The sequence below is a fragment of the Homo sapiens genome, chromosome 16, assembly GCF_000001405.40.
Source record: "Homo sapiens chromosome 16, GRCh38.p14 Primary Assembly".
NCBI classification, from domain to species: Eukaryota; Metazoa; Chordata; class Mammalia; order Primates; family Hominidae; genus Homo; species Homo sapiens.
This window is the reverse complement of record NC_000016.10, coordinates 55441255-55459542: the sequence shown is the minus strand read 5'-3', so window position 1 is coordinate 55459542 and position 18288 is coordinate 55441255. Positions and strand designations below refer to the sequence as shown.

Below are 18288 nucleotides of genomic sequence, written 5' to 3'. Positions count from 1 at the left end.
GTAATCTCGGCTCACTGCAACCTCTGCTTCCCGGGTTCAAGTGATTCTCCTGCCTCAGACTCTTGAGTATCTGGGATTGCAGGTGTGTGCCACCACACCCAGCTAATTTTTGATGTTTTAGTAGAGACAGAGGTTCACCATGTTGGCCAGACTGATCTCAAACTCCTGGCCTCAAGTGATCCATCTGCCTTGGCCTCCCAAAGTGCTGGGATTGCAGGTGTGAGCCACGGTGCCCGGCCTGAGCTGCTTTTTAAAACATGAATTAGTTGCTATATCCGTTAGCTGTTGCTGCCTAACAAACCACTCCAAAGCATAATGGTTTCATACATTTTTTTAAAATTAGTCTACAGGCTGGCTGGGTGGTTCTGCTGATCCAGGCTTAGCTGATCTAGGCTGGGCTCTCTTTCATCTGCAGAGCTGATGGGTCAGCCGAGCTGGGCGGGTCTATGCAGCCCATGGGATGGCGTGGCTCTGCTCTGTGTGGGCTCTGGTCCCCAGCAGTGCAGCCTGGGCTTGTCTTCACGGTGGAGGCGGCTTCCAAGGCAGAGGATGGAAATGTGCAAGGCCACTTGAAGCCTAGGCTCAGAACAGACACAACTTTGCTTCTGACACACTCAGTGAGTCACAGCAGATTCAACGGGTGGGGAAATAGACTCTAGCTTGCAATGGGAGAGGGTACAAAGTCACTTATAAAAAGTTTGAAGACGTGGAAGATTGGGGCTATTTTTGCCATCAGTCTACCAAGTCACTAGTATTTCTAGCCTTTCTTAGCAAATTCCCAGTATCCACAGTAAACTGAAACAAAATAGGAACCACCCTTTCAGGATGGTTACTGTTAGGATGTGCTGTTTCTGTTTTTTTTTTTTTTTTTTTTGAGATGGAGTTTCACTTTTTTTGCCTAGGCTGGAGTATAATGTCGCGATCTTGGCTCACCACAACTTCTGCCTCCCGGGTTCAAGCGATTCTCCTGCCTCAGCCCCCTGAGTAGCTGAGATTATAGGCATGTGCCACCACAACTGGCTAATTTTATATTTTTAGTAGAGGCGGGGTTTCTCCATGTTGCTCAGGCTGCTCTTGAACTCCCGACCTCAGGTGATCTACCTGCCTCGGCCTCCCAAAGTACTGGGATTACAGGCCTGAACCCAATCTCACTAGGTCTGTCTTTCATATCTCTTACCTACTTGGCCCTGTAGGCAAGTGAGTTGACCATCTCGTCCTCCAATACAACCAACTCATGCTCATGAACTGGCTCCCCATTGTCTACAGGAGAAAACTAAACTCCTTAGCTTGGCAGTAAAGGCTTTTTGCCATGGACTATTCCAGGCTTACCTCCTGCCTCTGCCTTTTGTCCCTCTCCTCAGCTCTCCCTTACACCCTTAGTCCTTGTCACACCTTTGCAAACACAAGGCCCTTTTTCTTTATGTTCTTCTGAACCTGTCTACTTTGCAACCTGTTCCTTCTGCCAGGAATACTCTTTCTGTGCCTGGAGAAACTTTCTTCTCCTTCAGGGTGTGGCTCAATGTTGTGTCTACAATGTCTCACTCTATCCTTTTGGGCTTCCCTTGATGCCATCCTTCACATCTTGACCCAGCACAATTGACTCCTCCTTCCCCAGCTCTGTCTTTGAGAGTGTTATAAACACAGCCCTCTTACTCCACCTGATGCGGCTGTAGATGTGCCAGACTGCCCTGAAGTGTGTGTTTTCACCAACACACCTGCATTCACGTCTTGCCTCCACCACTCTTGAACTCGGTTACCCTGGGCAGGTTAGTTGATGATTTCTTTGAGCCTCAGTTTCCCCATCTGTGAAATAAGTTTACAATATATCTACCTTCGAGTGTTGTTCTGAGAGGCTCAATTGAGGTAGCAGGTAGAATATACTTAGTATGGTGCCTAGAACATAGCAGACGTTCAATAAATATTCGTTGTATGAACAAATAGCCCAGGCCCAAGTCCTTTGCAGCCTCAGCACCTCCCAGCCTTCATGAGACCCTCTCTGTTTCTTTTTGGGCAATAATATTTCTGTTCTTCAATCCATGTCAACTTCTTAATCACTTTGTGGGGATGGGAGTAAGGGGCACAAAACATGCCCACAAAGTACTTGAAATTATTGCTATTCAGGAATCAAAAGGCAAAGATTAGTTGCCTGTCTCTGTCTCACAAACAAATTAATGGAGTGGCAGCTTTTGGTGCAAAATACAGTTCTTGTCGAAAGGATTATAAGTATTAAATCCAGCTAGAATATACTGTGATTGCATGTGTGTGTGTGTGTAAAGCAAAGCTGCAATAATCATACATTTACAACTAATAAATTGGGTCCTTTAATTCCTCTGCAATAAGCCTTTGAAATATAATCTGTCATTTCAGACTTACAGAACATGACTTTTCATAATTATAATTCTCCAGCACACATTACTACTTATAATTAAATTCACTTTTAGGAAATATGGAGCTTTTTTGTGGATTATCTGTTCATACGATGTCATGATGGTAAAATTAATGTATAATCTGTTGAATACATTTGGTTAGTTTTTGGATAAAAAACACATACTCTGCTATTGATCAAAAGCTGGAAAGACAGATGAGCTGAACAAAATATATACTACTTCTCAGCAACTGGCTCAAACAAAGCCAAAGCAAACCCAGGCATGTCTTTCCCATCCCTGCCTCCCAAATAGGGCATCTAGGACAATGAAAAAAAAGCATTTGAGTTATTTGAAAGGACACAAATGTTAAATTATGGCCAAATTGTCTGCTGGAGATGACACAGTGTCATAAATTTTGAACAGCAGTTGAGTAAAGGTCTCTTGCTGGATGGATGATCAGAAAACAGACCCCAAAAGGCTCCAAACCAGCAACCGTGTGCAGGAGACATATACGGATTCATGAGCTAAGACACAAAGGAAAAGATAAGCAGATAAGGAAAAATGAAAACCCTGAGAAATAGGCACAGAGAAAGTGGGCATTCATGGTCTAACAGCACCATCTTCAGCGTTTTTTTTTGTTTTTTTTTTTTTTTTTTGAGGCAGAGTCTAGTACTGTCATCCAGGCTGGAGTGCAGTGGTGCGATCTTGGCTCACTGCAACCTCTGCCTCCTGGGTTCAAGTGATTCTCCTGACTCAGCCTCCCAAGTAGCTGGATTACAGGCGGGCGCCACCATGCCTGGCTAATTTTTGGTAGAGACAGGGTTTCACAATGTTGTCCAGGCTGGTTTGAACCCCTGACCTCAGGTGATCCACCCACCTCGGCCTCCCAAAGTGCTGGGATAACAGGCGTGAGCCACCGTGCCTGGCCCATCTTAAGCTTTTCATCAAAAAAGCTACATTGCATTTTTACAACTCTGGACAAAAATGTTTTATCCAGCTCAAGGTCAAGGCTGGCCAAAGCCATGAATTGGTGTGTTCCCTACTCATGTCTCAAGAGAATTAAATGCTTCCTGAAGACTGGATTTGAAGAATGATGAGGAAATCTCTCCCCACCAGTGGAAATGTCCTTCCAGGTTGATTCTTTTTCCTAAGGCCCAGGAGGAAGACCTCTGTTTCAAGGGTAAGGTTTTCCTGAGAGGGGCAACTTGAATGAGAAGTCAAATATTTAGCATGAACCTGACAACGTGTGTAACTTTGACAGAGGTGTAAGAGAGAGGGCACCTCTGCACTTGGGACAATGAGTTTGAGCAAGAGGACTGGGTGAATTGCTGTTGATACAGGAGTGGCTTCCAGGAGCAAAAGGCAGGGAAAAGATTAGAGAAGGTCTATATGTGTATGTGTGTGTGACAGTGTGTGTCTATATGTGTGTCTTTATGTGCCTGTGTATATACACGTTTGTGTGCATGTGTTTATGTATACATGTATCTATGTGTATGTGGTCTGTACATATGTGTGTCTGAGTGTGTAAGCATGTATCTCTAGGGGTGTGTCTATGTGTCTGTCTGTGTATGTCTGTCTGTGTATGTGTGCCTGTGTCTTAGTCCATTTGGGCTGCCATAACAACATTTCATATACTGGGTTACTTAAAATAACAGAATTTATTGCTCACAGTTCTGGAGGCTGGGAAGTCCAAGATCATGGCACCAGCAGATTCAGTGTCTGGTGGGGGATCCCTTTCTGGTTAACAGACAGTGACTTCCAGCTATGTCCTTATGTAGTTGAAGAGACAAGAGGTCTCTCTCTGGCCTCTTTTATGAGGGCACTGATTCCATTCACAAGAGCTCCTACCTCATGACCCAGTCACCACCCAAAGGCCTTGCCTCCTAACACCATCACCTTGGGAGTTAAGATTTCAACATGGGAATTTTGGGGAATACTGACATTTAGACTATAGCAGTCCGTGCATGTGTGTATGTTTCCATTCTGAGTGTGTGAGTGTGTGAGTGTCCCTGTGTGAGTGTGTGTGTCTGTCTGGTATCTGAGTGTTTATGTGTGAATGTGAGTGTCTGAGTGTGAGTGTGTGTGTCTGTCTGGTATCTGAGTGTTTATGTGTAAGTGTGAGTGTCTGCATGTGACTGTGTCTGTCTGGGAACTGAGTATCTCTGTGTGAGCGTCTGTGTGACTGTATGTGCCTGTCTGGTATCTGGATGTGTGCGTGTATGTGTGTGTGTGTGCGCGCACGTGGTGTGTATGAAGACAGTGAGAGGGAGAAGAGAGGAACAGGCCTTAGGCAAGTTTCTTCTCCTTTCTGGCTCCTGAATTCTCCATCAGTGAAACGATTCTTTCCCCAGTGAGTCAGTTAATCTACCAACGTTGCCCTGCTATGTGCCATCTCTGTGAAAGGTACCAGGGATGCAGAAGTGGGAGTCAAGGGGCACTGCCCTCACAAGCTGTCTGTGGCATCAGGTGGTGGATGATTATGGCTGGCATCTTCCCAGGGACCTCACATCAACAGCAAGAAGGGCCACCACCTGTGAGGCAGGGCCTGCCTTCCCCGCGTTATTAAAAGTACGTGCCTCCCCTGTAATCCCAGCACTTTGGGGGGCCAAGGCGGGCGGATCACAAGTTCAGGAGATCAAGACCATCCTGGCTAACATGGTGAAACCTTGTCTCTACTAAAAAAATACAAAAAATTAGCCAGGCATTGTGGCGGGCCCCTGTAGTCCCAGCTACTTGGGAGGCTGAGGCAGGAGAATGGCGTGAATCCGGGAGGCAGAGCTTGCTGTGAGCCGAGATCGCACCACTGCACTCCAGCCTGGGCGACAGAGCGAGACTCTGTCTCAAAAAAAAAAAAAAAAGAAAGAAAGAAAAGTACGTGCCCCCACCATGCATAAGGACAGGGTTAGGACTGCCAGGGGACAGAGGAGGAAGTCCCTCACTTGGCAATAGCTCTCTGGCTGTAGCCCAGGCAGTCACTACTCTCTGAGGTGGTGATGGATGCCACTTTCCTAGGCTCTCCATTGTTAAAGACTCGAAATGCTGCAATCTCAGCAATTATGGAAGCATTTCTTGTGGCTATGGTCCAGGCAGGGCACAAGGAGGAAGTCATGGGCAGATTCAAGCAGGAGAAGCCTATTAAGACAAGCTCTCTAAACAGAGGTGATGTCAGCACAAAGATCAGCATTGGCCTTGGGCCTGAGATGAGATCAAGGACTGAGCAGAAATCACCACTGTGCCAACTTAAAGTCTCATAAATGTTTCTCTGGTTTGTGCTATGGAAAAGGAGAAGCCTAAAGATGGAAAGGCATTCGCTCAAGGTCACACACAACTGAGAGGCCAAGACAGGTCTAAGGACATTGACTTTTAAAATTTTTAGTTTTCTATTATTTTTAGAGACATCTCATCTGCCACCTAGGCTGGAGTGCAGTGGCGCCATCATAGCTCACTGCAGCCTTGACCTCCTGGGTTCAAGCAATCCTCCCTCCTCAGCCTCCCATGTAGGTGGGGCTACAGACATGCACCACTATACACAACTGACTTTTTTATTTTTATTTTTTTTGTTGAGACAGGGTCTTGCTATGTTGCTCAGGTTGGTCTCAAACTCCTGGCCTCAAGCAATCTTCCCACCTCAGCCTCCCAAAGTGCTGGGATTACAGGCATGAGCCTTGGGGCCCAGCCAGCATTGACTTTTAATCTCTGGCCTGTAAAAGTATGCACACAATATTATTTAAAACGTATACCTGGCTGTCTCCCTCTCCAAAGTCAAGAATAGGACCAGGATAAGGCTGGAGATGAGATTGGATTTGGGGTTGGACTCATTCCCATTTCTATCTCATTATCTTACACCTGAAGGCACTAATAAATATTCAGTAGATAAATAGATGCAGAGATGGACGTATAAATAGATGAATAGGTGAATGAACAAATGAATAGATGGATGGATGAATGCATGGATGGATGAATGAATGGATGGATGGATAGATGAGTGAATGGATGGATGGATAAATGAATGGATGGATGAATACATAAATGGATGGATGAATGGATGGATATATGAATGGATGGATGGATGGATAAAGGGATGGATGGAGGGATGGATGAATGGATACTAAAATTAAGAAAAGGTACAAAGCTGAGGCCTAACAGCCCCCTCCCAGGATTGAAGGCCGGAGTTTGTCCACATATATTTTGTGTGTGTATAATACAGTTGACCCTCACAAAGGTTTCAAATAATTAGTAGCCAGTACAAAATCAGGAGATTTCACATCTTAAAAGTGCAGATTTATGGCTTTTATTCTTTTTTTTTTTTTTTTAAGAGACAGGGTTATGCTACGTTGCTTAGACTGACCACAACCTCCTGGGCTCAATCTTCCTGCCTCAACTTCCCAAGTAGCTAGAATTACAGGTAAGTGCTACCACAGCTGGCTCTGGCTTTTCTTGAAAAAAAAAAAAATCAAAAGACATAGTAACACCAGGTTTGCACTCCACATGAAAACGATCTTGAAGCTGAATAGCAGCTGCTCCTTTTGAAGGGAGAATGATTTCTGGTTCACCACAGTCCCTACCATTCCCTACTGTCCCCACACCTCCCCAATATCCTCAGCTACATCACTTGGTCAGCCCCATAGGTATCTGCATTATCAACTCTTAACTTAAAGAAAATCTTTTGTCACTCTCGTTCCCTTCAGTTTGCTGATGCTGCACCAGCCAGTCTGAGGCTGGTGTTTTCTTACTTTGCCCTAATCTTCCCCTTCATCCGGCATTCTGCAGTTCTGGGTTGCGCACCCAGGCGACGTTAACCAATGCCTTAACTTAAGATGCAGAGAAGACTCTGCAGCCCACCTCGCTCCAGTCTCCCATGGGAATGGTAAAAGGTCTAGGCAGCTGGGTGCGGTGGCTCACGCCTATAATCCCAGCACTTTAGGAGGCCAAGGTGGGTGGATCACCTGAGGTCAGGAGTTTGAGACCAGCCTGGCCAACATGGCGAAACCCCATCTCTACTAAATATACAAAATAAATAAATAAATAATAAAAAAAATTAGCTGGGCGTGGTGGCAGGCATCTGTAATCCCAGCTTCTCGGGAGGCTGAGGCAAGAGAATTGCTTGAACCTGGGAGTCAGAGGTTGCAGTGAGCCAAGACTACACCACTGCGCCCCAGCCTGGGCAATAGAGTGGGACTCCGTCTCAAAAACAACAACAACAACAACAACAAAAAGCCGCAAAGTCTAAGTAAGGGCTCCCTCATGGCAGTAAAGAAAGGTAGTTTGGGTGCTTGTGTTGAGTAGGCATGCAGGCAGACTTGAGGAAAGGATGAGCCGGCCATCCAGAAGCTAAAAAGGAATGATTTCGGAAAGTGTCCCTTATGCACTTTTGTATTTCATTGACATTTTAATTAAGACTGGAGCACTCTTTGGGGAGCTCTGCTCTGAAGTTGAAATCACTTTAATATGCTGCCCTAGCATAAAGCTAGAGATGAATGGAAGCCTGGGGTTCTCATATGTTTCATGGTACTTAGCAATTCTTTTTCACAATGCATTATGATGTTAAGATGGTTTATGAGTTTCTATTGGTTAAGTGCAGCCATATCAAATTATAATTTTGCTCAGTGGATTTTGCTCTAAGAAGATTAAAGAGCACTTAGGCCTTCCCTGGTGGGAGGCAGGTCCGAGGATCACCTCAAGCTCCAGGCAGGCTCCAGTAGTTAAAACTGTTGCTGTAGAGCAATGAGGTGAGCTCTGGTTGAGGGGCGGTTGAGTGTCATGGCTGCAGGGTCACAACCTCAAGTTTAGCAGCACGTTCTGGAAGCTGTCCTAGCTAGGGATGAGTTGACGTGTACTAGGAATTGCATTTCACATAAGACCCTCCTCAACTTTCGTGTGACAAATTTTTGCTTACAGAGCAATGCACTTTCATACCCCGTTTTGGTATTTAAATATTTTTTTCTCTTGGTGGCTGAAACCTAAACACAATCAGAGTTGCATAATGTGAAGTATTCCCACCATGTTTTTTATTTATAACATCAATTGGATGTAGCTCTTTGGTTGGTGTGTACTTACTGCCCTTGTTCTTCATCAAAGTAGTTTTATCTATATCATCTAAACTTTGTGCAAAATGGCTTCCACAAGCATTGTGAGTGGTATTATCAGTTCGAGATCATTATATAACCTTCCAGCGATGAAATAAGTGAAGAATACTGAAATAACAGCTGCTATTAAAGTTTGGGAACTTCAAAAACTAGGGTAAAGAAGGCTCATTTAATACATCTTTTAATAAATATTTGGAATAAGTGGGTACTCATCTGGAAAAAATATAAAGTTGGATCCCTACCTCACAACTTATACAAAAATAAATTCCAGATGAATCAATGTTTTTATACATACACTAAAACATAAAAGAATTGAAGAAAATATAGAGAAACTTTAAAATAATCTCAGAATTGGTAAGATTTTTCAAAATATGACTGAATCATCAGAAACCATAAAAGAAAACATTGATCAATTTGCCTACAAGAAAATCTTTATAAGGCTGCATAACAAAAAAGCAAACATTAAAGTAAAGCAAAATAAATGTGGAAAAATATTTGCAGCTCCCATCTTACAATAACAAATTTTCTGAATGCATAAAGAATTTCTATAAATCAATAAGAAAAAGTTAAATGACTGAACAGAAAAATGTGCTGAGAATATGAGCAAGCCACTCAAGGAAAATGAAATTCAGTTGACCCTTGAACAACACGGATTTGAACTGCACGGGTCCACTTACACGAAGATTTTTTTTGAAAAATTTACATAAAGGCCAGGAGCGGGTGGCTCATGCCTGTAATCCCAGCACTTTCAGAGGCCGACGTGGGCAGATCACCTGAGGTTAGGAGTTCGAGACCAGCCTGGCCAACATGATGAAACCCCTTATCTACTAAAAATACAAAAATTAGCCAGGCATGATGGCGGGTGCCTGTAATTCCAGCTACTTGGGAGGCTGAGGTAGGAGAATCGCTTGAACCCTGGAGGCAGAAGTTGCAGTGAACTGAGATCACACCACTGCACTTCAGCCTGGGTGACAGAGCAAGACTCCATCTCAAAATTAAAAAAAAAAATGTTACATGAACTGTGCTTGCCTAAAAGGCAGACACTTCCACTTAATGAATAGTAAATACATTTTCTTTTCTTAATGATTTTCTTTTCTCTAGCTTACATTATAGTAAGATTGTACTATATGATACATATAACATACAAAATATGTGTCAGCTGTTAATGTTATTGGTAAGGTCCACAGTAGGTTATTTGTAGTTAAGTTTTGGGGGAGACCAAAGTTACACATAGATTTTGGACCGTGATGGGAGTTGGCAATCCAACCCCCATGTTGTTCATGGGTCAATTGTACTATTTTTCATTGGCCAGATTGGCAAATATCACAAAGTTTGACAGTATATTTTTTGAAAAGGTTCTGGAGAAATAAGCAGACTCAATAGTACATGCTTCACTTTCTCTAGATAGACTCATGAGAAACAAGTCATTGTCTCTAAGGGGTGAAACTGGGTGGCTGGTATGTGAAAGAGACTTTGCAACTTAAAATTTTCCACCACATGTATGTATTACCTACTAAAATAGAATATTATGCATAAATATATATAGATATAGATGTAGATGAGATATGTATACAATACTGCTGGTTTGATTCTTGAACTTATTTTTCCATTGGTGTTTGCCAATATAGGCTTTAGCCCAAGAACAAACATTTATGGAATCAATTATACTTTAATTAAAAAGGACTGTTCTCTCTCTTTTCTCTTCTACCCTGCAAACCCTTCAAAACCTCAAGGCTAAGAGAACTAACACATAGTAGGAACTCAGTAAATATTGTCAAGTGAATGAATGCACCTGACTTGGCCTGAAGTGGAGGCCAGGAAAAACCACTTTCTTCCCACTTTTTTCATGATTAGGACCTGAACACCCATGCTTCCTGGTTTCAGAAAGAGAGAAATTGGGTAGAATCAAATGACAGGTCACCTGGGCCAGACGACGACAGGAGGAAATGGTTAGGTCTAGCTGTACAACTTTAGACATGTTACTTAAACTCTTTCTGAATCTCTGTTTCCTTGTCAGTAAAATGGAGATACTAATTACCTTCTAGGAGATCAGTAAATGTTCATTGAATTGAATAGAGTTCTTGTTAGCAAAGGGAAAAGAGTCTTCATCATAATTGAGATAAATAAAAGTGGGAGGTAGGAAAAGAGGTCAATGTGGTGGCCTTGCTGTGGCCCAAGGAGCTTTTAATACTGTTATGCAAAGTTAAATCAGGGCATGGGTAATGTAAGTAAGGCCCTATGAGTGTTCATGACTTGGTGAGCTTTTAAATACATTGTTTATTTGTATTGCAATATCTCTCCTTCCTTCCTTCCTTCCTTCTTTCCTTCCTTCCTTCCTTCCTCCCTCCCTCCCTCCCTCCTTCCTTCCTTTTTTTCTTTCTTTCTTTTCCTTCCTTCCCTCCCTCCCTCCCTCCTTTCTTTCTTTCTTTCTTTCTTTCTTTCTTTCTTTCTTTCTTTCTTTCTTTCTTTCTTTCTGTCCTTCCTTCCTTCTTTCTTTTCTTTCCTTCTTTTTTTCTTTCTTTCTTTCTTTCCTTCCTTCTTTTATTTTCTTTCTTTCTTTTTTTCTCTTTCCTTCCTTCCTTCCTTTCTTTCTTTCATTTCTTTCTCTCTTTCTTTTTCCTTTCTTTCTTTCTTTTCTTTTTTCTTTTCCCTTCTTTTCTTCTTTTCTTTTTTCTTTTCCCTTCTTTTCTTCTTTTCTTTTTGAGACATGGATGCCCTGTTGCCCAGGTTGGAGTGCAATGGTGCAATCACGGCTCATTGCAGCTTCCAGCTCCTGGACTCAAGTGATCCTCCCACCTCAGCCTCCCAAGTAGCTGGAACTCTAGATGTGCGCCACCACGCCCAGCTAATTATTTTTATTTTTAGTAGAGACAAGGTCTTGCTATTCTTCCCAGGCTGGTTTTGAACTCCTAGCCTCAAGTGATCCTCCTACCTTGGCCTCCCAAAGTGCTGGGATTACAGGCATGAGTCACCACTCCAGGCCTGTATTTCTAACAGTATGAGTGTGTGTGGATGCTTATGTGCATGCATGCATACACATGTACATTTAGTAAAATGCTTCTAAACTAGGACTCCAGTTCTATCCCAGATCTCCCAGGAAAACCTGGAAAACCTTAGCTAAATGTTTTTTCGGGAGTGCTTGGCTTTCTTATCTGTGGTTGGAGATGATTCCCTTCTAATCTCACTCACAGGGTTGTTTTCCGGTTTTGTTTTTTGTTTTTTAAAAATCAAATGAGGTGAATGAGAAACCAGTCTGCAAACTGGAAAGAGCTATGCACGTTAATAATTATGAGGGTTTTATGCCTTTTGCTGAATTCAGGCTCTGGCTCTTATTAAAAATGCCAACTCCCTTGGTCCTTCTGCTTGGCCATTCATACTCACTCTGCTTAATCATTTGCACCTCAAGGTAAATTAACAGATTAGGCCAAGGAGAGTGTGGAAGAGAGTAATTCATAGTATGAGAAATAATAATTACAACAATAATAATGGCGACATTTATTGGGTGCTAACTCTGTGCTGGACTCAGTAGAGACCTCTCCAGAGATGAGGGATGTATAAGAGAAGAAAAGATAAATTGTGGTTACTCTGGCACAAGCTTGCTAATAGAGTGCTGTGATCTTTTTGCTCATAAGGCTTATGTGCTTGTGTGTGCGTGTGCGCATGCGCGCGCGTGCACGCTCATGGGGGCGTGTGCTTGTTAGCATATTGGTTTTCCTCATCTCTTCCCCCTCGGGGGGAGAGGAGACATAGGAAATGGGGGAAGGCTTCCAAGCAGGCTCCACTAATCACATGTGGTACAATGCAGGGATTTCCAAACCGTGAGATGTCGGGGTCACAACCTTGACTTTGCCAGTGACCCTGCTGTGTGACTCTGGCCAAATCTCACCTCCTCTCTTAGTTTCATTGTCTGCTCTGCTGAAATGAAAGGGTTTCCTGAGTCACCCTGGTAATAGACACCTACGGTTTTGCCCCCACCCAGGCCTCCATTCAGTTTCTCTGGCTCTGAACTCTGGGTAGAATGGGCCAGAAGGAACCTATCCTTAGTTCCAGGCCGGCGGGGAACCTAGACTGCTGTGATTGGCTCCAGGATGGGCAAAGGACCCCTTCAGAGCCCTAGCGATAACCCATGGCTTTTGTTCTAGGGACAGAACAGATGCTGTTTCCCAGGGGACCAATCCCAGAAATATGTGGAGCTGGAGCTTCTGGCAGCCTTTTTGCTACCATGAGGTAAGTATCTGTGTGAGTAAGGAAGCAACACAGCCAAACGTGGAGCAGAGAGATAAAAACTGACTCCAGGGGCCATTGTTGGAGCACCTGGATCCAGGTGATCCTGAACAGACACCTCTGTACTTTTCTCTCCTATAACCTAATAAACTTGATTGCTATTGCTGTTCTTCATTTAAGCCTATTTGGCTTGGGATTCTGTCACTTGGAGCTGTGTGGTGACCTTATGCAGTGTTTATGGGGTTTACACAGTGGTTGTCATGGCCTTTTCAGTTCAGGAATCCCAAAGCTTTATGGCTTCTATGATTCTCCTGGGAGTGAGTGGGGCTGGCTGCAGGAAACTGGGTCACAAGGCCTCAGCCACAGTCGCCTTGACTCTGCCAGTGTGGTGGGGGCTTGGCCTGGTCCCCACAAGGAGAGAAAGTGTTGAGTCCCATGTCTCACCACTCTTCATGAGTATAATTATTTTGATGCCAAATTATTAATGGGCTTGGCTGTGACATGTTTTCCCAGACCCCCCTTGGAGATGTCACGTTATAAATGGTGATCTCATTGTATAATATTTTTAAATCTGAAAATTTAAATACTGAAATACCACTGACCCCAGTGGTTTCAAGGAATGGCGTGCAGACTTGTAGTGATCTCTACTCAAAACTTAGAAGCTTTCACATAAAATTCCACATTCCTGGTTTCCCTGAAGAGGGAGAAGGCCTGGCATTGCTACGTAGCGCCACTGGGATACACACCCAGGGTGATAAGTGCCTGACACTGAGCTGCCCCCACTCCCTTGGATGGGGCCCGCCTTCCGCATCCTGACCCGGGTCTCTACTGCTGTGCACACACAGCCCCCATATCAGTCAAGAATAAGGAAGACTTAGACAATGCTCCTTCAACACCAGTGCCCAGGGAGTTTCTAAAAGTGCAGTCACCCCGGGATACCTCTCTCCTGCACATTGCTTGAGATCCCTAGCTGTGAACACTAACAGGAGCTTTTATGCTTCTATGCTCTGTACCAAACGCATGTGCACCAGCTCATATCATTCTCATGACAGTCCTGGGTGAGGGTCATTCCACCCCTTTTCACATAAAAAATCCGAGGGTCAAACACACCGTGTATCTTTTTTTTTTCTTTTTTTGAAATAGGCTCTTGCTTTGTCACCTAGACTAGAGTGCAGTGGCACAATCACAGCTCACTGCAACCTCGACCTCTTGGGATCAAGCGATTCTCCCAGCTCAGCCTCCCAGGTAGCTGGGACTACAGCTATGTGCCACTATGCCTGCCTTCTTTTTGTTTGTGGAGACAGAGTCTCACTATGTTGCCCAGGCTGGTCTCAAACTCCATGCAATCTTCCCACCTTGGCCTCTCAAAGTGCTGGGACTATAGTCACGAGCCACCACGCCCGGTGCCCACACCATGCATCTTGAGCCACCACGCCTGGCACCCACAGCATGCATCTTACCCCAGGCCACATCCCTAGGGAGAGCTGGGACCAGAGAAGACCTCCTGCCCTGCGAGCTTCTTTTGACCTTTGTATCTGGGGCAATCAGCAGAGGTGACTGTACCATGGCACCCCACACCCAGTCCAGTTGTGAGAGGAAGGAGGTGGAGAGGAGTAGGTAGACATAGTAAAATAAATGTCATGGAAGCCAAATTTAGAGGATATGGAGAATGTCAAAGTGAGAAGCTGGCAGGTCATTTGGTCTAATGCTCTTGTTTTCTCCATGGGGGAAAGTGGGGAAGTTGACAGTTTCAAGGACACGTAGTGGCCCTGGAAAGAGAGAAGGGTCATTACAGTGGTTGTTATGGTCATTACAGTAGACCAGATTCTGAGACCTAACGTGAACCCTGGGCTTCCCCATTTAGCACTGCTTTCCCCTGAAAGCTTCATTCACTTGTCTACCCAGGGCAAGGGGAACTCCTGGCCATGTGCCTGGGGGCCTTTGCTCTCTCTTCCTGCTCCTCCAGAATAACTTCCCTTTGGGTAATTTTTCCATTACACTGTTCCCCTTTGGACTTTCAGAAATAAAAACCCAGCCCCCCTGGTGTGCAGTCACACTTGCGCCCTGAGGAGTAGTTAAAATTCAGCTTGAGGGGCACTTAGTGTCACAGAAGCCTAGATAAAGAAACAAGATTTCAGGCAGGAAGAAATAATAAAGAGGCAGGACTTCAAGTGTCCTGTGAAACACAACATTCGGCCTCCGGCACACACATCCGTGGGAGACGGCTCAACTTCTTTATAAAGTGGTGAGTTCTGTGTGAGCACAGATGCATTTTGTTTTCCTATGAGGAATCAATGATTAAATTATCAGAAAGCTAAAAACCAGGCTGCCTGAATATTCCCCGACGTGTCCCCTGTGTCTCCCCAGCACCTCCTGCTCAGGAGGTACAGGCTTTATCTCCAAAGCTTTAGTTTAAATGTCCAACACATCTTATTAATGAAAGTAATAAGCTGTTGTTTATTATATGTCATGATGGGGAATATGACTATTTAATATAAACCTGACATTTAAATTCCACTTAGTTATGAGACGTGGACGATATCAAGGCATAACTCTTTACCCTGGAGTAAAAACTCCCTGGGTCTGCATTTTAAAGCATTGAAATTTTCAAAGTAATCAGGTTCCTTTTTTTTTTTTTTTTCCAGAGGAACCAAATTGTGAAGACATCTGTTCTGTTATTAATTTCACATACATCTTAAGCTCCTCAAGGCCAGAAATGAGGCTTCATTCACGTCGAATTAATGAAACATGATTGTAAGTCCCTTGCTTGGAAATGCTGTCACACAGTTCTGAGCTGCTTATAAGCACTGAGTAATCTCTGAAACTGCCAGGGGACGGCCACTTGAAATCTGCCCTCCCCTCCCCCTGCCACCCAAAAACAATATCTGAATATATCACAACACTAACTATATCCTGAAAGATTAATAGCAGATAAAAATTTCTGGGAAATGAATCAGACTTTCTCAGTAAAGGATACAGAGATCTCAGGCAAAAGCAGATTGCATAGTGGAAGAGCTCTTTGGGATACAGTTTAATAACTGTGCCCCAGGCTGCCCCTGAATACACCCAAAAGGACGATGGTGGGCCAGGAAGGGGGTGGGGAGTCTTGGAATTTCTTGCAGAGATGTCTTTTGAGGGTGTGTACGAAAATGTACTGGAGGTGACACAGATGTGAAACTGGAAACTTGATCTGCGAAAGCATGATGTATGTGTCAGGTGTGTGGGAGAATGTGTGTGCATATGGAAACTGTGTGTGAATGCATGCAGGAATGTGTATGAGTCTACTTACATGTGGGTGAGTATGTGTATATCAGTGTGTGAGTTCGCGCACGTATGAGTGTGAAAATGTGTGTGTTGTGAGTTTGTGTTGGTGACTGTGTATGAGGGTATGTGTGTATGAATATGGGTGAGTTTGCATGTGTGAAAATGTCTGTGTTGCAAGTTTTTATTGGTGAGTGTGTATGAGGGTATGTGTGTATGAATATGGATGAGTTTGCATGTGTGAAAATGTGTGTTGTGAGTTTGTGTTGGTGAGTGTATATGAAGGTATGTGTGTATGAACATGGATGAGTTTGCATGTGTGGAAATATGTGTGTTTCGAGTTTTCATTGGTGAGTGGGCATGAGGGTATGCGTGTATGAATATGGATGAGTTTGTGTGTGAAAATAATTTTGTGTGTCTGTGGATGCATATGAAGGTGTGTGTGTGTGTGTGTGTGTGGTGAGTGGATGCATTGACATGCACAGATCTCTCAGGACAGACAGGAATCAGTCAGTCCGGGCTGGATCTTAAATAGCAGCTCAGCACAATACCATGCCCATCTGAGCCAGTCTTGAAAGGAGCTTGCTCTTGAGGTTTTGGGTTTGGGGGGCTTGATTTTTTTTTTTTGTCAAATAACTGAAAATGCCAGCAGAAAGATTGTCTGGAGGGAGGCATGAGATGGGGAGCCTGAGATTTCTTAATCAAACTTTCAAGTGTTATTTTTGGTCTTCCGCTGAGCTGGGACCAAAAAAGAATCTGCATATGATATTTACATCTCAAATCTTCAGAGCCTCATTAGCTTTGATAGTTATTTATTTATTTATTTATTTGCAAAAAGGAATTTAAATCAAACAGAGAGGCACAAAAGCAAAACCTTTGAATGTAGTGCAACATTAATTAAAACAGGCAGCCGAAGGGTAGAGTGAAATACAATGGAATCCAGAAAAAAAAAAAGACAATGAAACTAATTAGACTCTGATGGGAAGATCCTTCCTCGTTTGGTGATCATCCATTGGTAATTAATAAGTCACAAATATTGATGTTTGAAGAAAAGTGCCAGAATTTTAACCCCTGTTTTTCCAGAAGTTTAAAAAAAATTTCTTTAGATTCTGATCTTCTAAACTAAATCAGTCAAATGATTGGATGTTGAATTTTACAGTCATGTGTTGGTGACGGATGGGGATGTGTTCTGAGAGGCTATTTCATCATTGTGCCAACCTCATACAGTGTACTTACACACACCTAGATGGTATAAGCTATATGGAATAGCCTTTTGCTCCTAGGCTACAAACCGGTATAGCATGTATCACACTGAATACTGTAGGTAATTGTAACACCGTGGTAAGCATTTACATATGTAAATATAGAAAAGGTCCAGTAAAATTATGGTATAAAAAGTAGAGAATGGTACACCTGTATAGGGCACTTACTGTGAATGGAGCTTGCAGCACTGGAATTTGTTCTGTGTGAGTCAGTGAGTGAGTGGTGAGTGAAGGTGAAGGCCCAGGACATTACTGTATACCACTAGAGACTTTATAAACACTGTAGACTTAGGCCATGCTAAATTTATAAAAAATAAAGTAATTGCACTACAGTATTACAATGGCTACCGTGTCACTAGGTGATATGAATTTTTCATCTCCGTTATAATCTTATGGGACCACTGTCATATATGCAGCCTGTCATTGACCGAAACACCATTACACAGCACAGGACAATATTGTGTTCTGGGGGAAACAGACTAGCCTATACCAGCAACTGGTTAGCTCTCAACACCTGTCCTCAAAATAATGTGCAGGTGGATCGAATTCAACTGTCAGCGGATAAAGATATATCTAATACAAGAGATGCTGGACTCCAGCAGTTAGCATTAACCCAGTGGTGGAACCAACTTGTATATATGAATGGATACAATCCCAGCTAGATTTTTGCCCCTGTATATTTTGAGGCTTTGTTGTATGATCCATGCTTTGTAGATCTGTGAAAAACATTTCCAGGCATCCAGTTGAAAAACCCTTGACCAACAGTATAAAAACGACTTTTAGCTTTGCCTAAGCATAAGGCAGCATCAAAGGGGTCTGGCTTCCTTTTGGGAAGTTCTTTTGAATGAAGTGATCAGTTAGTATTTATGCTTTTTGTCCTTCTGTATTATGCAACAGCACAAATGCACAACTGCCCCAGTGGGACAATCTAATGCATAGCCAGCCAGTCACACAGTTTTAAAGTTGGACGCATGTGTCTTTGGCACGTCCCAGGTCTCCTTTCAACTTCTTTCAGAATCTCTTTTTTACCACCCTCCAGCCCAGCGCTTGAGGTTCTCAGGATGACCCTGGGTCATTTCTAGCTTAAAG

At 43.5% G+C, this 18288-nt stretch overlaps 1 long non-coding RNA gene across 1 annotated transcript in view; it reads left to right on the top strand.

Annotated features, from left to right (window-relative positions):
• The window catches only part of MMP2-AS1 (MMP2 antisense RNA 1), a 35501-nt gene that overhangs the window by 2755 nt on the left and 14458 nt on the right, over positions 1-18288 (top strand). The window contains exons 2-4 of the long non-coding RNA NR_147198.1: positions 6683-6771; positions 12595-12679; positions 15322-15430. This is a non-coding gene — a long non-coding RNA (MMP2 antisense RNA 1). The remainder of the gene's footprint in view (positions 1-6682; positions 6772-12594; positions 12680-15321; positions 15431-18288) is intronic.